Below are 22,542 nucleotides of genomic sequence, written 5' to 3' on the forward strand. Positions count from 1 at the left end.
AAAAGAAAATTGAGTGAGAAGAGGGGACGAGGTAGAAAAAAGCAGGAGGCAGTAAAGACACCGATTTGACTATCATTTCCATTTGATTTGAGGACTAGGAGTAGATCAATAAGAAGCTGTAACACAAAGAAAAAGCCAGACCCTTGGAAAAAAAGAAAGAGGCTTTAACCTGCACAATTTCCCTCCTAGGTCTACTCATTGAAAATAGCAGGGATCCCAGTTTGAGCTTCAGCTCTGAGAAACCCAGATCTCAAGCCTGTCTTCTTATGTCTGGAGTGAGCCAGGTTGAGAGATCCTGGGATGCTTCCTAGGGAGGGGGAGGAGGGCATATTCCTCTGGGAAGAGGCCAGGAATGTACAAGGAAAGACAGACATAGGGAGCTGTATACATTCTCCTCAAACAGAGTCCTGCAGGGAGCAAGAATTGTCATGGGCCCTCCGCGCCTGACGCTATTCTGTGAGCAGGAGGACACCCATGAAAATGTTAATCTCTAGTCTGAGAGCAATGTCTCACTCAGAGGAAAGCATTTACAGTGTGGGCACCAACATTTATGGTGACAGAAGATGTGTCCTCTGCTGAGATCTCCCCCTCAGTGGGCACCAGCATTATGGGGAAACAGAAGACATCTTCTACCCAGGCCTCGCCCAGTAGGCAGCAGTCTCAAAGATAGCATTGCCGGTGAGTGACAGGGACAGAGTAGCCACGCACTGTTTCCCAGGAAACAGGAACATCATCACAGCAAGCTGGATCACAAAAGGAGGAAAATGCTGGACATGCTTGATGGTGAGTAAGACTACAGAGCATGAGACACTCCCTGAGGGCTCCTAGGATTACTGGAAAGTAATTTGCCATGGGTTGTAAGTCCCTCTGAATGCACTGCAACAGACCTTCAAGAAAAGAAAAAAAAAAAAATACTGCTTTATAGCTGTTATCCTGACTCCCAGTATTCTGATCTGGGAAATGTGGGGTACACAAGCAATACAAATGAACTCCTGCCAGGGCAGATTTGACCTCGAATCTGAGCTCTCCAAGACCCTGACATCAGCAGGCCTCAGAGAAGATATCTCTCCCACTGCTTGCTACAGCTGGTATCAGATAGCGTAAAGAGACAGCCAGCCCCAAAGAGTCAAAAACAAGAGCTGCAATTAAACAGTCTGGGGAATATAGACATTTTCCTTGAGGCAAGTCACAAGATACTCTACAACAGAATACAGCTGCTCAAATAAACTCATCCTCATTTCAAAATCTCCACTGGCAGAGTTCTACCATGTGGACCAATCAAGTTTAAAAAAAAAAAATCTGTACTAAGAAAAAAAGAATTAAGTGCGTGTGCCTTGTTTTTTAAAACAATAACAAGAAAGGGTAGGAAGGCAAATTGCACTAAATGCTAGGTGATTACCAAGAGTGACCCTGGTTATATGAGATTTTGGCTTAGTAGGGAAAACGCATGCAATTACGAGACAATGAGAAAGACCAGCACTCCTCAGGATATGGAGTCATAAAACGAGGCATTGCCCTTACTCGGCCTTAAATGACTTTGCCAGGAGATAAGACATAATTTGCAGAACGGTGTTTGTAAATGTTTACATTTTTGTAACCCAATTGCCGTTTGTTTCAAAATTATATGCATTCCACGTTATTGCTTTTGGTAGATTTTTACCTTTAGTTCTATAAAACAATGGCTGACTTCCTTTTTTAAAGATTCAAGTTATCTTGAATTCACTTCAAGGTATTGATCTTAATGTTCGCTTGAGAGGTCCAAGATAGAAATATTGCATCTAAATTTTTAAAACACTTGACTCTTAGTTTGAAACAATAATAGAATGAACCCTGAGAACACGATTTGGATCAAATCTAGACAGAAAGAAAAACATCCCTTTAGCTAGCGAAATTCTGTATGAGCAAAGAATTATTCTTTTTTTTTTTCTTTTTGGTGTCTTCAAGAGCAGCAGACTCCCTTTGGTATGACTTGACCTCACAGACCTCTTCTGTCATGCGCTAGTGCTCTTTGGTTGCAGAGAAATGCTGTTTTCTGGAGTCTTTAACTCCTTTTCTGGCCATCATCCCAGAAGTATTGATCACCTTCAGTCATTGTCCTATTCTGCCTCAGAATGGCGCCAGAGTGATTCCTAAAACCCAAATGTTATTTTGCCTCTACTGCTTAAACTCCTGTGGCCGTTCCCTATCTTCCCCAGATGAAAAAGCTCAATATCCTTAGAAAGGCTGGAAGGACCAGCCCAGCTGGTGCTGCCTGGCTTCCATCTCCCCGTGAGAAAACGGAGAGCTGTCTGGTACAAGAGCTTGCGAGGTCACCACTAACTGATGACAGCCATTTCCAAAAAGACTCGCATTGCATGGAACTGTGCTGGGTTTGTGATTTAAATGTTCTCTGTCAGAGCTTCTGCATTCCCTTCAATGAAAGCCAAAAGTTATCCTTTTCGGGTTCACTTTGAAAAATACTACTAGAATGCTATTTCTAACATATTAATTATTTGAAAACTTCAGTGGCAGTTGAAGGCAGGTAGCTAATGACAGTGCTCAGAGAGCCTTTCCAACTCATTTGGAAATAAAGTAAACGGCTTTCTTTGTTTCACTTCCTTCATCTGATCAATTTCAGCATAGTGTTTGTTCTGCTTAATCCCAACATATCTGGTTTCTTTTCATTGTTTTCTACCAGGCGGTATTTCCTAGATCATGACTATCATTCTGACTCTGATATTTTACTAGCTTTAAAGGGCCCTGTCTCACTGAAGAGCTGTAGCTAGTGCTTTTATACCTTCCTGTGGTCATCAGGCTCTCAGCAGAAAAAAAATTCTGTGGGAGGCCTCTTTCTTCTGCTGCTCTAGGTGTTTTCTCTGCAGACTATACTTTCTGGCTCTAATAATTCCTACAAAGATAGCAAAAGACCCAAAGCCCTAGCATCTCAAGACTTTGCTCTGGCATGCAGAGCCAGCTGTAGAGTAAGACTGGCTTCACTGGCCCCTTTGCTGCTGTGGTGGTGGTCCTTGCCCAGCAAGTGGGCACTGCTCCAAAATCAATTGAGGTGTATGACTTGGTGTCTCTTGATGTCGCCAAGATCTAGAAACCCTATAAGGATGACTCAGCCCTGGCACAGGGGCCCCCCAAGGACCGGCCTCAGTGCCCATTAGCTTTGCAGCCCCAACCCTAGAGTGCCCTGCTCCTGCACCAGACGCTCTCTTGGGAATGTGAATCTGAGGTTCTTGCAGGCTCAGCTCATGGTTAGGGATGCCTATTCTTCCATTTTGACCTGTACACAGACAAAGGTCATTGTTATTTTTAGTAAAAAGCATTTTATTTTGAAATAATTTTGAATAGAACTATTTCATTACTCCATCAAAATTATAAAATCAATGTATCAGTCAGTAAAAATATATTTGAATATATTGTATAATTATAGTTATTTTAACACCCCCTTCCATCTCAAAAGTATTGCAGTATGGGACCCAAAATTCCATGGTCACTTTATGTGATGATGAGCGATAAGAAGAGCAGAGACCTAAATTCATATGAAGAGCAAAGTCCATTGCATTAGTCTGTTCTCACACTACTAATAAAGCCATACCCGAGCCTGGGTAGTTTATAAAGGAAAGAGGTATAATGGACTCACAGTTCCACATGGCTGGGGAGGCCTCACAATAATGGCAGAAGGCAAAGGAGGAACAAAGTCACATCTTGCATGGTGTCAGGCAAAAGAGAGCATGTGCAAGAGAGCTCCCATTTATAAAACCATCAGATCTCATGAAACTTATTCACTATCACGAGAACAGCACAGGAAAGACCCGCCCTCATGATTCAATTACCTCCCACTGGGTCCCTCCCACTATACCTGGAAATTATGGGAGCTGCAATTCAAGATGAGATTTGGGTGGGGACACAGCCAAACCGTATCACCCATCTTTCCCCCTTTGTCACAGGGTCATTGCAGTCAACCAACAATCCTTAAAGGCAATTCACACCAACCCAACACTTAGCCACAGCAAACAAACTGCATAGTGTACAGGCAGAAGGTAGTGAAGTAGTGCTTTCTTGGTCACTTGCAGGTCACAAGGGGTGTAAGAATGGGACCCAGGATGCCCCATGATCCTCGCCCTCCTCTGAGGGGAAGCTCCAAAGGCACAAGGAGCTGTGGATCTGACCAGGACCTGCCTCAGGCCTGAGAGGAAACTGATTCATTGATGGAAAATTTCCAGGTCCTGGCCAAGCAAGAGAAACCAGTTCACACAGCTTTGATAACCAGTGGGGCAGCGTGCACCCACAGGACAAGTGCCACTGACACAGGACAGAGCAGGGATACACCGAGAAACTCCAGGGCTCGTCCCCAACATCAGAAAACACTCCCAGGACAGACAGATACCTCTTGGGGTAAAGAAAAGGGAGGAGAGCAAGCACGAAGGCCTAAATTCTATCAAACTAGGTATAAACTATATGCCACCTTTAGCTATTTGTTTTCTCCTCCACTATCTTGATCAGATTACTTATTTTTCCAAGCACATCTGGGTGTAATGCATGTAAATTCACAACCCTACTACACAAGTGGCCTCATATATGTGTGTGTGTGTGTGTGTATGTGTGTGTGTATATATATGTGCATGTGTGTGTGTGTGTGTGTGTGTGTGTGTGTGTGTGTATATATGATACATATACAGGTAACTTCTGAAGCTTCTTCTTCAGGATGAAATTTATTAACTAGCTCTTCTAAGTGTTACCAGGTCTAGATCAGAGAATTTCTCCCAGCTGTGGCTCAGGGAAGTTAGAGGGTGTGAGAGTTCCGGGGGTCTGTGGACTGTAGTACAGAGAGTGGAAGAAAGAGAGAAAGGACCCCCTGAGATTAAATATGGGAGAAGGGTGTTAAAAGAAGAGGTAAGAGAAACTACATCTACATTTCCTACTGTCAGTCCTGTTAAATATTAACAAGGGCTTTCTTTTTAATTATCATATGTTATAAATGTGAAACTGGGCATTGAGGAAATGATTTGAAATGTTTCCAAATGCTGAACAGTAAGAGCTTTCAGGTGCAGAGTCTATGGGCCCAGATACCTTTAGGGATTACTGCATGTGCTGTTTGGTTTTGTGCTGCAACACAAATATATCTCGCACCCAAGAGTCTTCCAAGAATTTAAAAACTTCAGATCGTACACATCACTGTCTCAAGTGTAAAATTATCATGCCCTACGCCCGATCTCTCCCTCTCACTCTCTTACTCTGATGGCAATGTGGGGAGTATGAGAGACATGTGCTAATCTGTTTGGGGAATAAGGGAAAGGTGTTGGAAAAACAGAGAACGTATTCCCTGGGAAACTATTTGAGTTCCACTAAGCAGAAACATGTACAAACTCACTTCTAATTCACTCTGAAGTAGTGCATTTCAATTCCCTTGTACAATACAGAAACACAAAATTGGAATATGTGTCCCAGCAAGAGCTCTCTTTTGAGTGCTTAGGCCAAAGACAGTGAAATTTACCCAACAACTACATGCTATAAATCATAGTCCACAGAACACATAGTTCTTGCCTGCCGATTTTCTTTTCAAAAGAAAAAAGATTATTGTGCTTTATCCACAAAACTAAAATTCTATGAGAATTTAGAAGAAAGAAAAAACACAGCCACACACAGTGGCTCATGTCTGTAATCCCAGCACTTTGGGAGGTCAAGGTGGGAGGATCACTTGAACCCAGGAGTTCAATACCAGCCTTGGCAACAGAGTGAGACCTCACATCTAAAAAAAATAAAAATAAAAATAAAATCTGAGCACAGTGGTGCACATCTGTGGTCCCAGCTTCTTGGGAGGCTGAGGCAGGAGAGAATCACTTGAGACCAGGAGGTGGAGACTGCAGTGACCCATGACCATGCCACTGCACTCCAGCCTGGCCAACAGAGTGAGATCCTGTCTCAAAACAAAAACAAAAACAAAAACAAAACAGAAACAAAACAAATGTATGTTCCCTAGCTCACTCTTTTATTCCATGTCTCAATTCTTCTCCATCAACACCATCCTCATCAAAGCTAAAAAACCTCAACATTACCTTTGGCTCTTACCTCTCCTTGAGCCCACTACCTGACCATCCTTCCCAGACAGTCTTTTCTTCTGTTCCTATTGCCATTTCCGAAGCATGGATCTCATCAGGATCTTACCCAGCTGTCTCCCTCTCTTTATCGCCCTCCTCTTCAATCCTTAGTCTCTCCCCAGGATAATCAGCCCTCATTCATCCTTTCTGTAAACAGCCTCTGGAGCAATCTGCTCACACACAGCTCAGCTGTACCCCTCTTCTGCTCAGGATCTTGACATCTTCCCAGGCTTACACAACAAACACCATAGAGGCATCTAATGGCCTTCATGACCTGCCCCTAATTTTCCGTGCTACTTGTTTCTTGCCCTACACCTTTGGGAAAATCTTCTGCTGGACTGACATCAGACAGTCAACAGAGTTATTCAAACACCTTCCCATTTTCAACTCTTTGCCCTGCATTTTTTTCCTCAAATGTCCTTTGCTCTACCTCTCCAGCCCTAAACAGATTGAGACTTCTTGAACTCTTACCCATATGGCAAACTCAGCTCCAAGAAATCTCCTTCATGATCTTTATTTTTATTTATCTGGTTGAAATTAATATCCCCATTCCCCAGGCCCTCATACTTTCTGTACCTCCCTGTCTACATGTATCACTTTCTGCCCTGTAATATAGATAACTGGGTTCTGCAGCCTCTTAATTTGCTTAGGAATTCTACGAATATTCCAGAAGTCACATCACTATTTTGAAGAAAAGAGAGTAGAAGTAGTCAATAGTTGTCAATACAACTAAAAAATACTTTGGTTTTCAGTCAGTATCAGCAACATAGAGCTACTGTGGACCAACAGGCTTCCAGATAACTGATATTTTAACCTTCTGGATGCCAAAGATCTCAAGTACTTTTCAATAGTTTAATGGTTTCCCAACTTCCCTTTCTTGGTGAGCAGAGTATAGGGCTTCTACCCAGAGCAGACTGGGTCTTCCAATCCACCATGTTTTCTGAAGACTTCTGCCTTTGCACACACTAGCCATCCCCTCTACATGGAATGCAATGATTCACCTTCTCTAGTTGCCAAACTTCTATTCCTCCTGCTCACCTCAAGTGTTCTGTGACGTCATCTCTGATATGCTCAGGCAAAGTCATTAATTCCCTCCTCCATCACGCAAGTAATCTTTTCTTATTACTGTTTTAGCACTTAGCATTTATCTTGCAATGCTACCATTTTTTCTGTACACATCAATAAATTGAAGATTTCTTGCACAGTGGGTCTGAAGATCATCTCTCTGTACATAAAAGTATCAGAGATAAGTACATTGTGTGTACATAGTAAATATTTAGAAATATTTATTACATAAATATATGACATATTATCACTAGTGAAAGTTAGTTATTGTCTTCTTAATGGTGTCATTGAGAGTTATGTCCTACTTGCTTCTATGCTGAGTTTACACAGAATGGTATGCGTTTCTACTCAGTGTTTTCTTTTCTCCTCCCCTGTGAATATCCTTTTTTGCTTTATAATTTAGGTCAGTATAATCATTGTCCTTTTCTACTTTTATTGACCCCGGTTTCTATTCTCGGCTACTTTCTTCCTGCTTCCCATTTTAATACATCTCTTATCCTCTCTCTCTTGTTTTTATGAATTCTTAAAGATTTCTTGGCTTAATGTATTTCTTGAGTTGGCATATTTCTTTATTTGCTTTCCATATCTGTCATGTGCCATCTTTCTGCAGGCAAAATTATGATTGATCAAATCATATTCAAAATATCCTTTCCTTTCTATTCCACTGCATCCACCTTTGCTCTAATTCTTCCTTTGCACACCTAAGTTACTGCAATGGCCATCTAACATCTCCATCTGCATCCAGTTACTCCCTCTTCTAATCAGACATATGTATCACGACTAAGTTACTCTTCCTAAAACACTAATTTCCCTGTATTCATCCTATGCACAACAGCCTTTGATTTCTCTTTGCCTACATTCTGGCATTCAAAGTTCTCACAATCTGGTCACATCCTGTCTCTCATTTTACTTCCCATTTCTCCAAAACATGTAGTGGGTTATTGTGGTAATTGGCTCCAAAGATGTTCCACTGTACAACCACACCGGTATTCATATCCTTGTGTGACCTTTTGTCTCTGGGCTGGGCCTATGACTTGATTTTTACCAATGGACTGTGATGGAAGTGAAGCGGAAGGACTTTGGAGGATAGGTCAGAAGACGCCTTGCAGTAACTTAGGCTTCAATTTTCAGGAAGGCTGCTTCTCTTCTTAAGACTGCTCTGATTCCATCCTAGTCCAAACCACAACTTCTCTCCTAGGTCCCATGAACACAAGAAAAAAGATCCTTTTTGTCTTGTCTTTCCAAACGTAATGCCAGAGCTCAGGAAAAATGCAACTCAAGATGCCATCTGATTTCCTGTATAGTACAGATTGACAATCTCTAATCTGAAAATCCAAACTCTGAAATATTTCAAAATTCAATGAGGGCCAACATGATGATGATGTTGTTGGTGACACTGCAGAAAAAGTGCCTGCAGATAACATGGTGAAAATGTGTAATGAGCTTATTGAAGGACTAGAGCAGCATGCATTCATAACAGAACAAGATGTCATGTCAGCTCACGAAATCAAAGAGAGACTTCTCAGACAAAAACTTTCGTTAATGAGGCAGATGACTCCGGAGGAAACATTTTAAAAAGCCATCCAGCGGAAGGTCTCCTCATCCCTAAAGGATTCCCTTCCTGGTCCTGCAACTGCCTCTGATGCTTTTTCTCACCTAAAAAAAAAAAACTACAGTGGACAGTAACCTCTTAATCAAAACACAGCCTCACAGGTGGAGACCAAAACCCGGCGTTGTTTGTTGTTGCTGTTGTTAGCAGCTAATTCAGGTATTCTGGTGGTGCTACTCTGCTGCATAGGTACCCTGAACACATTAATACACCTGTATTAATGGTATTTATTGGTATTTCTGAGTGAATAAGTGTAAGAAAATTATTGCTTATTAGAGGTATATAAATTTAATCAGGAATAATGGTGATGCCAAACAACCACAGACTGCCTGTGTGAGTGGCTGAGATAATGACACCTTTGCTTTTTGATGACATTTGTGACACATTTGTACACAAAGTCTGTTTATGCACAAAATAATTTTAAAACATTCTATAAAATTACCTTCAAGCTATGTGTATAAGTTGTATATGAAACATAAATGAATTTCATGTTGAGACTTCGGTCCCATTCCTCACGATATCTTATTATATGTATGCAAAATCCCAAAATCCAAAAGAATACAAAATCTAAAACAGTTGTAGGCCCAAGCATTTCAGATAAGGGCAACTTAACTTGCAATACAGTTGTCCCTTGTATCAATTGGGGATTGGTTCTAGGACCTCCCACAAATATCAAAATTTGTGGAGATCAAGTCCCTCTTGTAAAATTGTGTAATATTTGCATATAGCCTATGTACATTCTCCTGTGTACTTTAACTCACCTCTAGATTACTTACAATATCTAATACAATGTAAATGCTATGTGAATAGTTGTCATACTGTATTGGTTTGTATTTGTATCATTTTTATTGGGTTTTTCCCAAATATTTTTGATCTGATGTTGGTTGAATTCGCAGTGGCAGAACACACAGATATGGAATGCTGCCTGTAATTGGTGCACAGATCACACCTAGAAAGTAACTTCTTGGCCAGATGTGGTGGCTCATGTCTGTAATCCCAGCATTTGGGGAGGCTGAGGTGGATGGATCACCTAAGATCTGGAGTTCAAGACCAGTCTGGCCAACATGGTGAAACCCCATCTCTATTAAAAATACAAAAAATTAGCTGGGCGTGATGGCCAGCACCTGTGATCCCAGCTACTTGGGAGACTGAGCCAGGAGAATCACTTGAACCTGGGTAGTGGAGGTTGCAGTGAGCCAAGATCACGCCATTGTACTCCAGCCTGGACAACAAGAGTGAAACTCCATCTCAAAAAAAAAAAAAAAGAAAAAGAAAAAGAAAAAGCAAGCAAGAAAGAAACTTCTCCTAGCCTTAGTTTACTCATCTAGTTGTACTGAATCATTGCAAATTCTCAGATTGTTGATCCATAAAATTAGGTCTTGCAAATTGCCTTCTCCAGCTTCAGATCTTAACTAGTTCAAATCTCATTCCCCTCCTCAGACTTCTGCTTCCCGTCAAAATGAAGTAACAGACCAGATTTACCATCTTATCTGAACCAACCAAAAATGGACAAAATATATGAAACAAATGTTGTCAAGACATCCACCATCAGACAGCTACAGATGACAATCCCTGGGAGACAGAAGACAAATGAAGTGGGCTCTGTGATCATTCTAGTTTACTGCCTTGAGAGAGTTTTGAAGTCACAGCACACAGAAGAGGAACCCAGGCCTAGCCTAGTGTACTCTCTGAGCTAAGGAGATGGAGCTGGGAATTCAGGGAAACTAAGGAGCCTAGAGCTAGAAGACAAAGTAAAAGGGAAGAGAGAGTTGCACAAAGGAAGAACCCCCAGCGATTTGCAGGTGGTCCTGCTTGAGTATCCAGCTGACACGGATCAGCATATACATGTGAGAAAACCAAAATAAAATCAGATAGCCATGTATACCATACACAAATATCAATTCCAGGTAAATTTAATAAAATAAATTGCATATGAACTTTAAAGTAGTTTTTTCCAGTTCTGTGAAGAAAGTCATTTGTAGCTTGTTGGGGATGGCATTGAATCTATAAATTACCTTAGGCATTATGGCCATTTTCATGATATTGATTCTTCCTACCCATGCGCAAGGAATGTTCTTCCATTTGTTTGTATCCTCTTTTATATCATTGAGCAGTGGTTTGTAGTTCTCCTTGAAGAGGTCCTTCACATCCCTTGTAAGTTGGAAAAAAGAGCCCGCATTGCCAAGTCAATTCTAAGCCAAAAGAACAAAGCTGGAGGCATCACACTACCTGACTTCAAACTATAATACAAGGCTACAGTAACCAAAACAGCATGGTACTGGTACCAAAACAGAGATATAGACCAATGGAACAGAACAGAGGCCTCAGAAATAATGCTGCATGTCTACAACTATCTGATCTTTGACAAACCTGACAAAAACAAGAAATGGGGAAAGGATTCCCTATTTAATAAATGGTGTTGGGAAAACTGGCTAGCCGTATGTAGAAAGCTGAAACTGGATCCCTTCCTTATACCTTACACAAAAATTAATTCAAGATGGATTAAAGACTTACATGTTAGACCTAAAACCATAAAAACCCTAGAAGAAAACCTAGGCAATACCATTCAGGACATAGGCATGGGCAAGGACTTCATGTCTAAAACACCAAAAGCAATGGCAACAAAAGCCAAAATTGACAAATGGGATCTAATTAAACTAAAGAGCTTCTGCACAGCAAAAGAAACTACCATCAGAGTGAATGGGCAACCTACAGAACGGGAGAAAATTTTTGCAATCTACTCATCTGACAAAGAGCTAATATCCAGAATCTACAATGAACTCAAATCTACAAGAAAAAAACAAACAGCCCCATCAAAAAGTGGGCGAAGGATGTGAACAGACACTTCTCAAAAGAAGACATTTATGCAGCCAAAAGACACATAAAAAAATGCTCATCATCACTGGCCATCAGAGAAATGCAAATCAAAACCACAATGAGATACCATCTCACACCAGTTAGAATGGCAATCATTCAAAAGTCAGGAAACAACAGGTGCTGGAGAGGATATGGAGAAATAGGAACACTTTTACACTGTTGGTGGGACTGTAAACTAGTTCAACCATTGTGGAAGTTAGTGTGGCGATTCCTCAGGGATCTTGAACTAGAAATACCATTTGACCCAGCAGTCCCATTACTGGGTATACACCCAAAGGATTATAAATCATGCTGCTATAAAGACACATGCACATGTATGTTTATTGCAACACTATTCACAATAGCAAAGACTTGAAACCAAGCCAAATGTCCAACAATGATAGATTGGATTAAGAAAATGTGGCACATATACACCATGGATTACTATGCAGCCATAAAAAATGATGAGTTCATGTCCTTTGTAGGGACATGGATGAAGCTGGAAACCATCATTCTCAGCAAACTATCGCAAAGATAAAAAACCAAACACCACATGTTCTCACTCATAAGTGGGAATTGAACAATGAGAACACATGGACACAGGAAGGGGAACATCACATACTGGGGCCTGTTGTGGGGTGGGGGAGAGGGGAGGGATAGCATTAGGAGATATACCTAATGTTAAATAACGAGTTGATGGGTGCAGCACACCAACATGGCACATGTATACATATGTAACTAACCTGCACGTTGTGCACATGTACCCTAAAACTTAAAGTATAATAAAAAATAAAATAAAATAAAATAAATTCAAGAAGCAAAATGTTAAAGCTTTGAGAGGAAAATAAAGAATATCTCTATCACATCAAGGTAGAGAATTTTTCTTAAACAAGACACAAAAAAACACTAACCATAAAGGAAAAGATTAATACCTTTGTGTACATTAAAATTAAACTTTCTGGACTACAAAAGACAACATATAAAAAGTGAGACTGGGTCAGGCACGCTGGCACACACCTGTAATTCTAGCACTTTGGAAGGCCAATGGTGGCGGATTGTTGAGCTCAAGAGTTCCAGGCTAGCCTGGGCAACAAAGTGAAATCTCATCTCTATAAAAAATACAAAAACCAGCTGGGCATCGTGGTGTACACCTGTAGTCCCAGCTACTCAGAAGGCTGATGTGGGAGGATGGCTTGAGCCCAGAGGTAGAGGTTGCAGTGAGCTGAGATCACACCACTGCACTCCAGCCTGGGCAACTGGATATGTGGGGGAATAAAATCCCACATATCTATTTTTAAAAAATACAGCAACCTAATAACAAACTGTGGACTAAAGATATAAATAGTCAGTTTTAGAAGAGAAATAACAAATGGGCAGTGTGTGTGTGTGTGTGTGTGTGTTCAAATTTCTCAGGAAAATAAAACCACTTTCACACCCACCTCATAGATTTCTCAACGATCACAGAGCCCATTTCATTTGTCATTTATTCATTCAGCACAGATGTATTGGGTCACTCCTAGCTACACAGCTCTGTTAGGCACACAGAAACATTAAAAAGGTAAATAAATGACCATTGTTTTATTTACCTTCTCTGCTAGCATGAGAACTCGAAGAGGTCAGGGACTGCTTCTTGTTCTTCATTGGATCTTCCACACATAATACATTCCTGGCATCAAGTACAAAGATGATGCAACTCCTGCTTTGAGGATCTGGAAATGTGAGGAGGAGGACGAGGCAAGAAAGTAGCAAAGCCCAATACCTCTCGGGCATGCCTGGGAGTGTCCATGAGGAGCTAGATTTTGAAGGACATATAGAAGTCCACCAGTACTTTGGTTACACTCTTTATATAAAGAGTCACATCGGAAATGGGCCTCAAAAAATGTTTTCCCTAACACAGCTTCTTTCTTTTCAAATTAGCACAGAATATTTACCATATTATAAAACGCACACACACACACACACACACACACACACACACACACACAAAACCTAGTCTCAAATAACTAATTCCCTGGTAGTAAATAGCTTCAACTACAAAATGCCAGAAAAAGGAGAAGAAAGAGGAGGAGGAAGAGGGAAAAAAAGAGGAGGAGGAAGAAGAATCAAAGCCATCTATATCCACACAACTTACCATGTATTATGTTAACGTTGCTTCACTACTAGCTATCTTTACTCCGGTTAACATTGTTTTATTACTTCCTGTCTTCAATGACTTTACTAATTCAGAAAACTCTTGCCCAAGAAGATAAAAAAAAGTTGCAGGTAACTTTATTGTTAGTTTCAGCAACTTCCTAGAAATCCCAGTTAAGCGAACATCTAACTGTTCACCTCTTCAAAAGACTGCTTACTCCCCAAGATCCTTCAAAACTCTCAACTCTACCAATTTTAAACTACTATATGATAATCATTATTCAGTCCCAATTAACATCACTCTCCTACACTCCCCTAAGCCCTAGCCCTCCAAACTCCCCAATCTCCACTACCCCTCAGCTTGAAAAGACCTGTCTTAAGCCAGACTTCCTGATTTTACCATGCCACTCAATACTAGTGCTCTGTGGGGTCCTACAATTAAACTAGGATGCAATAAGAATAAACTCAGCCTTTTCTTATCAACAAGTTGTTTTGGTGATATTTTTGAAGTGCCAGTATTACATTATCATCATCACTATCACTAACAAGGATTGAGCTCTGACTACATACCAGGTAATTGCTAAATGCTTTAAATACCTGATAATCACATTCTGTACAGGAAGTATTTCTAAACAAATAATTAAATTATGGAATATATATTCAAATGAGATTTTATAATACCTTTCAAAGAGGAAGTTTGTATTTTCTGCTGTCCTTCTTCATAAAGATTAAGCCAAATGGACCCATGTCTAAAAGATACTCTGGGGCAGATTTCCTTGGTGCGTATTACCGGAAGTCATCGTGATTATAGTGGCATTGGCCTTCATAGCTCAGCTTCATTGAGTTCTATTAAAAGAATCCCAGCAATGGAAATAAATGTGCCTCTTATTTCAACATTAAAGACAAGTGACCTTCTCAAAGAAAATATTAGCTGATGAAATAAATAAAGAAGGTGTTGGAAACATGAACAAAATAAAGGTAGGGAATTTCAGAAAGAGAAACGCCTGGATTTAGCCCTTCACCTCCAAATAAAGAATAATAGATATTTCCTTGGCAAACTGAGCGAAGAAAATGGGATGACGGAGCTTCCCAACTAAAATAACATCAACTATATATTGTAATTTCGCTTTTGCAACACCACGCTTCTGACTTGGTGGCACTGCCCGTAAAAATTCATTTTCAAGAAGCCCACCGGAACAGCCTGGGTCTTTGCCTTAATTCACTTTTCCTGGTAAGAGCCAAGAGGAGAGGTAGCCTTATCTAAGAACAGACGGCAGTGCGCTCCATCGGAGGAAGCTGAATACTAAATTAATCATGTTCTGGCTAGAATTTGCAATTCTTTGAGAGATGCTCAAGTATGAAAAATTTAAAGGTAACAAGGAAAGAAGGAGAGAGGTTGTGAAGCAGAAAGCTTCAGAGGGCACTTTAAATGTGAAAGATGCATTATAGTTTCTCACACATGAACAAGATAGCTTGCCTTATCCAGAATGCTATACATAAGCACTGTATTCTCATAGATGTGCCCTGTGAAGGGAGCTATCGTCCTGGAACACAGAAATTTCAGATTCAATGGTCATTTTCAGCGATTAGTATTAATATGAAGCCCATCCATCTGAAACTAGCATTAATTGGTCAAAACCACATGCACGGATAATGTCAGTACAAAATGACATGCTCTGCTTAAGGGGATCCCGGCACTTTTGCATAGATGAGTTTAAGAAGTTTTTTATTATTTTTTAAAATGTATACCTCCCCCTTTGTTTCTACTGTTCTCAAACTAGTTTTCTTTCTGTGTTCCTAGGATCCCCACTTTGCACTGCATACTTCACCATTGGTCTGCTGCATAAATGTAGCCAAATAGCAGGAGAATGGCGTGAACCCGGGAGGCGGAGCTTGCAGTGAGCCGAGATCGCGCCACTCCACTCCAGCCTGGGCGACAAAGCGAGACTCCGTCTCAAAAAAAAAAAAAAAAAAAAAAAAATGTAGCCAAATAGGGTCTCTTCTGTAGTTTCTTCATCTCAAAAATTAAACAATAATCCTGACCCATTATAAATTAAAGCCATGAGGGATTTTTCTGAGATCACTTTCCCTAAAGTTACTTCTGATATTTGAAGTGTTTTTTTAAAAAAAGGAATAGAAAAACAAATGCCCTAACTAAAATAACAAGAAACTCATAAATGCAGTGCCATTTAGCGCAATATTCCATGACAATTATAAGTTTTTAAAAAAACTGTTCTGCTCTCCCGAAGACACTCAGGTAATATCCTTCCAGGACTATTCCATTATACCTTATTCTCAATCCCAACCACATCTCTTTCTACTGATGCTGAAATTTCCTTTGTTGTGGTGGAAAATGGCTTTCCTGATAACCGTAGAAGAGGGAACAACGTCAAACTTCATCTCTAATAAATTATGATGCCTCTACCTTCAGATGCAGATAGAGGTATCTATTGTCACCCTGAGTGGTTTGGATAGTGACAAGATGGATGAGTGCTGTAATTGAAGCCCCTGTGCCCCCTTATCCTCATGGAGCCTCTGGCTGCCCAAGTCTTACACTTTCTCCCTCTCTTATTCAGTAGTTTAGTCCCATCTCTTCTCCATTCTCCAAATCCTGCATGGAATTTCCTGCCCCAAATCCCATGTTCTTAGTCCTCTGCCTTAAACTAACAGCTAAAAACTTGTTCCTAGGAAGCTGCTAATAACGTCTGATAAGGAGCCTGCAATACAATTCATGTCACTCTCAGGAGCTCAGTGATTCCTTTTGCTTGTGGAGAGAAATTTTCTCTTATCATCAATTAATATTTTATAGGTTGCTTGTTCTTTACATTACCTCCATCCCAAACAATTTACTTTTTGAACTCTCTTTCCCCTCCCCTAATCTCTGCTGAGTTGGGGTGGACGGGGGTTAGTGCTACCCCACTCGTAGGGAGATGTGATTTGCAGATGGTGAGCTGCTCCTAACCAGCTCATATTTTCCAGTCACTGAAGACAGCCACGAGCAGCCACTGCAGAGCAGCCCTCGAGATTCACCATCTGGATGAGGAAGAGGAATTGAGTCCTACCTGGCTTAGGACTTTCTTTTAGTTCCTCCAATGCATGACTCACCTCAACCTTCATCCAAACTGTTGTTCCATCTTCCTGGGACACTCCATTCCCTACACTCCAAGGGCTAACTTGGTGTCACGTTTCCAGTCTCAACATAAACTTTATTGCTTCAGGGAGAACTTTGCTAACCCTGGCAGATACACACTAAGTTAATGTTCCATGTTTAATGCTCCCACACCACCCAACACTTCTACTTTTATGACAGCCAGCACAACATATCCTGTTCTGTCACATTGCCCATCATTTACTCAGGTCGTCTTCCACCCTGGACTGAGAAGACCACTGTGGCTGCTGGTTTGGTATTGTGTTGCCAGTGGATAGCAAACATTTATCAAATGAATAAATAAAAGGTAAGAATAGTACTTGTTTCATTCTTATATCTGCTATAACATCTAGCAAAGTAACTGAAACTTAATTAGCATTCAATAAAATGCTTATGGATTAAATGCAGGAATAAGAACCCTAAGGATGTCAGCTGAATTCAGCACTACCCCAAATCAACTGGGAAAATCCTTCCTACCGTCGTTCTTTCCTGATCTCTCAGTGGGTTTCTTGCCTTGCTACTTGGCTCAGATAAAAGCTAGAAAGAACAGCACTACAGGAGGAAAAAAATGGTAATATGCAATGGAGACTAAACTGCTATAATCAAAAGTAATATTCTTCTCTCTCTCTTTCAACTCCTTCTATTGAATACCACCCCCATCCCCAGAGCAAAAGATCACTGGAAACACACCCATAAAAAAGTCACCCCTATATTTTTTTTATAAAAAGTATGCTATTTAGGTTCTCAGCCATGAATATGTAGCTGATATTGACTAATGGGAAATGTAAAAGGAAGAAAGCTACAGCTTTTTAAAGCATACTCATTGAAATTAAGGTCATATGTAAGAAATTTGTTTTAAAAAAATTTCTGAGCCACATCCAAAACTCTAGAGGGCATATTAAATAATGAAAATGTAAACTATTGGGATTTGGTGCTGGTTACTATGTTGGCACAGTACATAGCTCCCTGTGTGGCTTAAAAAATTAGGGAATTTTCCCTTCTCCCTTTATCTAGTAGCCTCCAAAATTAAAACAATTTTCTTTTCTTTGTGTAATAATACAAGCTAACCAAATTATGCTCTAATATTTTCATTCAATGACTTGGGAAGTCATGAAAATGCTTGTTTGGGGAGTTGCCCATATAGAAACAGAAAGAAAAAACCGTATCAAGAGGATTAAAGAGAGAGAGAGAGATAAAACAAAGAATTCCAAGGATTGTCACAATCTGATCTGCATAAATAAAAGATAATGGCTTCAGTGAGCTGGCCAACCTTTCTGTGGAGTGATCGGTCTGTAGAGAGTCATGTCTAAGAGGCTGCAGGTCATTATGGCAAGATAAAGCCTATTTCTCATTTATATTAAAGAATCTTGCCTGTTAAGGGCTTGATATGGATTTCAGACATAAATGTGCACAAGGCTCCACACCTTGTTAAGCCAATTTCTACGTATGCATTCCCTCCCTAATACACATGCAGATTTTATCATTCACAACTCAACTATTACACCTAACATACTTTTCTTGATTTACAAAGGGTAACATTTAGGTAGATCAGAAGTACTCAAATTGGGGGAATTGGATCATAAAATTTTCCCTTGACAAAGAAATTATTTTTTAATTTTGTACAGAAAAACGAATTTCCTTCCTTTTAAACAGGGCTTGCTACATCAAGAGAAGAAGGTTAAACTGTTTCCATTTTTTTAATATGTTTGATTCACTTTATTATAATATCTGGTTCCAGGCAAATGGATTGTTCCAAGTCAGCAACTGGAAACCTAAGCAATGGAAACTTTCACATTAAAAAACAAACAAATCAGACAATACAGTAAACAAACCCTGACTATAAAAATGGTTAAATACAGTATAGGAAACTCAGTAAAGTCAATGAGGTACCTTGGGTCCAAAAAGGAGCTATATGTATAATTGAAAGACTTCCTTGGCTGGGCCTTGTGAGGTGGCTGTAGCATTAGTGGGGTCCCTACTTTATAGGTCTACAGGTTGAGAAACTCAATGGGTACCTTCACCCAGGCACAAGCAGATCCTACTGTGTTGATTTACACAGTGGCTCAGGCCTGTAATCCCAGCACTTTGGGAGGCCAAGGAAGGTGGATCGCAAGGTCAGGTGTTCGAGACCAGCCTGACCAACATGGTGAAACCCCATCACTACTAAAATATAAAAATTAGCTGGGTGTGGTGGCACATGCCTATAATCCCAGCTACTCAGGAGGCTGAGGCAGGAAATTCGCTTGAACCCAGGAGGCGGAGGTTGCAGTGAGCCGAGATTGTGCCACTGCACTCCAGCCTGGGCGACAGACTGAGACTCTATCTCAAAATAATAATAATAATCAAAAATATATATATTTGGACACTGATTTCCAAATAATAAGGCAAATAATAAAATTTTGGTATTCTGTTTGTTTGTTTATTTGTTTTGAGATAGGGTCTAGCTCTGTCAGTCAAGCTGGAGTGCAGTGGCGTGATCTCAGATCATTACAACCCCCACCTCCCAGGCTCAGGAGATCTTCCTGCCTCAGCCTCCTGAGTAGTTGGGACTACAGGGTGCATAACCACGCCCAACTAATGTTTGTATTTTTTTGGTAGAGACGGGGTTTAGCTATATTGCCCAGGCTGATTTTGAACTCCTGGGGTCAAGCGATCCACCTGCCTCCACCTCCCAAAGTGCTGGGATTGAGCCACCACAACTGGCCAAGAATTAATTTATAAGGCAATAATAACATGACATAGTAGGAAATCTCTAGATAGAAGATAGGGCCTCTGGTCCTGGTCTACTGAGTTTCCATCACTGGGACTCTGTGAGTCACTTGATCTCTCTGGTTCTTTATTTTCCTTATATTTCCTAATCGAGAGGTATTCAGTTAATTCAATCAATGACAAAATAGTTCAATAGAAATATGGGCAAAGACAAGAACAGAAGGCAGTATGGTACTATGGTTTTCAAACAAAAGTCTGAGAAATTTGGAAGTCCCCAGATGTATCAATAACCGAGGAACTTGTACCAAGAAGTCCCACAGCATAGATGTTGGGATGATCTGAAAGTGCTGTATGAACAAAAGGCTCATTTTGCAAAGTGTTGCCAAATATGTGATGGGTGGACCTGGGAGAGATTATAAACTTATTTTATGGGAAGGTACTGCCTAGAACAAGCGTTCTCAATGGGAATGCTACTGCCCCTTAGGGGAGGTTTTGGAAATTAGATTGGGGTTAGTTGTCACAATGACTGGGGACACTAGTGGCATTTAGTTGACAGGAGGCAGAGGCACTGTGTGTCTTGCAATATACAAGATAGTCCTACACAAGGAATAATTATTCCAGTTCCCACAAAACGTCATGACATTGATGAAGGTATGTTTATAATTATCTAGCTTAGTTTTACATATAAACAATAGTATTATTTATGTCAACAAGCAAAAAAAAGATTGCATTATTGACTTCCCAGGATGATAACTGCAAAGTAAATCAAGGGAATATCATACTTTATGTTCAGATTTTTGTCAAAAGGGTTCACAGTTTTGGAAAGTCGGTCCACTCATGATATTCGAGTCAGCAATGAGACATTTACATCAGTCTGCATTTGTGGCTGTAGGATTCATAGTGATTCTACATATGGGGCAAACATCTTTTTAGAACAAATTCCTTCCCTTTTATTTCTCCCTTATAATAAAGTTAGGGCATAGTTTTGACACTTGCTGTCAAAGAGGTATTCAAAATATTTGTCATATGAAAGTGGAGCCTTGGGTACGACAACGTTGAGAACACTGATCTAGGGCAAAGATCATCTGTATGGCAGAAAAAGAACTTAAGGGAAGTTCTCAACAGACATGATGGGAAGAATTGCCCTTTCTGGGTGTGGGAGAAGGAGACGAAAATTTGAAGGGAGAGAGTAGGTGGAGAGACATGTCTGGTTCCTGAAGACCTGGTGAATATATAGCCATCCCAGAGAGATGGAAGGTTGAGGCAGGGGCTTTTGAGCCTCTTTTCCATTTAGAACCCTGGGAAGAGATACCACTTTGCATTTTGCTCCCGCTCAGAACTTGGTAATCACAGTAAAATAGGAATGGCAGAGGGGTACACATAGGCAGGAAGCCAAATTTGGTGGCCCTGAGATTCCCAAGTTTCACGTGGAAGATGTGGAAGGAAACCAGATATTCACAGGTATTCTCAGTGAGAGAGTCATGTGGCAGCTGAGAGTAGCAAGCCAGATGGTTAACCACAAATGGTCCTGTTGAGAGGATGACCCTGAAGCAGAGGCTCTGGGGTGGATGGTCAGACCAGAGCAGGATGGAGTCTGTGGCTGAGATCTGCACACTGCAGCACCCACAGAGCCAGGGGAGGAACCCATGACATTGCTAAGAGAATAGATCACAGCAGGAAAGACATCAGGTCCACTGTGTCCAGGTGAACAGGAAACATCTCCAAAATGGCCAGCACACACACCCAGACTCCACACTGTTACTACCAGGTCACCGATCCCCTGTGCTCAGCAGCCATCTCGCATAGGGGAACAAGGAGTAGAGACAGCCTGAAAGCCTGAGTCATCGCCCTAGAAGTGGGAAAGTTAACCCATTAGAAACGACGGAGACACTGAATGATCAAGTTTCAGTCCTCCCCTCTGCCAAAACCTTCCACACTCACTCGACTGGAAATACACACCAAAGTGAAAAAGAAATAAGCAACAGTTTTTGGACACATCTCAGTTTGCCAAGTATTGCGCTTTTATCCTTCTCTTGAGTATGTTCCTCTCCTTTCCATGTGCATCCGAAACTGGTCAACCTGAACTTGGACTGTGGGAACCAGAACCAAATGTGGGTCCGGTATACAGTACACAGCATTACATTTATCATGAACCTAAGACTATTAAAATAAAAACAAGAATAAGAATGCCATCTACTGGCGTGGAAAGCAGCAAGGCCCCTAACAAACCTGCAGTTAGTTTAAATGGGAGAAAGAATGAAAAGTTTTGCATTATTTTGTTATGAAACAGTGATAACAGCTAGAGAATAGAGATTTAAATATAAGTAGTATTAAGGGGACAGAGCACAAATAAATTTCTTTTAAACTAGTAAATCTTTCACATTCATGTCCCAATTTTGTGTTTGCTACTATAAACTCCATCTGAATGCAAAATAGATAAATATAATAAAACAGAGGTTTTATTTGTTTTACTGATTTATCAAGCTGTTTAAAAACAACCTAATGTTGATCTTTATTCATCATTTTTTTAAATGTGTTTATAAATTGCTTTGCCTATGTAAACAGAATGATAGAATATATGACTCTATTTGGCTGTTCCTATTTTCTGTATATTGAAATGGAATCGCATTTTTTTTGCATAGAAGGCAAACCAGACACTGATGAACCATACCTGTCAATATTGATTACCATTGACAAATATTGATATTTATATGAATTTTTATATAATATTTGTATGATTACCATTGATAAATATTGATATTTATATGAATTTTCCTCAGTTGGTTGATGATAATACAAATTTTTTAATTTTTCAGTGGAGAATTTATTTCTAATCACTTACTTGTTCTTTGAAAATCCTACTCAAATCATGATATTTTATTAGGTCCTTGATAATGTTTCCTTAAAATGTTCACAGTATCAAGGTTCATTTTATTGCC

The 22,542-nt window shown here is 40.3% G+C and overlaps 3 annotated features.

The window, feature by feature from the left end:
- Positions 3,063-3,112: an enhancer, noted in NCBI's record as "active region_7853". NCBI's record gives its function as "activates an Ori minimal core promoter by ATAC-STARR-seq in GM12878 lymphoblastoid cells {active_cell/tissue: GM12878}" and the evidence as "EXISTENCE:reporter gene assay evidence [ECO:0000049][PMID:35858748]".
- Positions 21,251-21,310: an enhancer, noted in NCBI's record as "active region_7854". NCBI's record gives its function as "activates an Ori minimal core promoter by ATAC-STARR-seq in GM12878 lymphoblastoid cells {active_cell/tissue: GM12878}" and the evidence as "EXISTENCE:reporter gene assay evidence [ECO:0000049][PMID:35858748]".
- Positions 21,321-21,400: an enhancer, noted in NCBI's record as "active region_7855". NCBI's record gives its function as "activates an Ori minimal core promoter by ATAC-STARR-seq in GM12878 lymphoblastoid cells {active_cell/tissue: GM12878}" and the evidence as "EXISTENCE:reporter gene assay evidence [ECO:0000049][PMID:35858748]".

This window comes from Homo sapiens, chromosome 13, assembly GCF_000001405.40.
Source record: "Homo sapiens chromosome 13, GRCh38.p14 Primary Assembly".
NCBI lineage: Eukaryota > Metazoa > Chordata > Mammalia > Primates > Hominidae > Homo > Homo sapiens.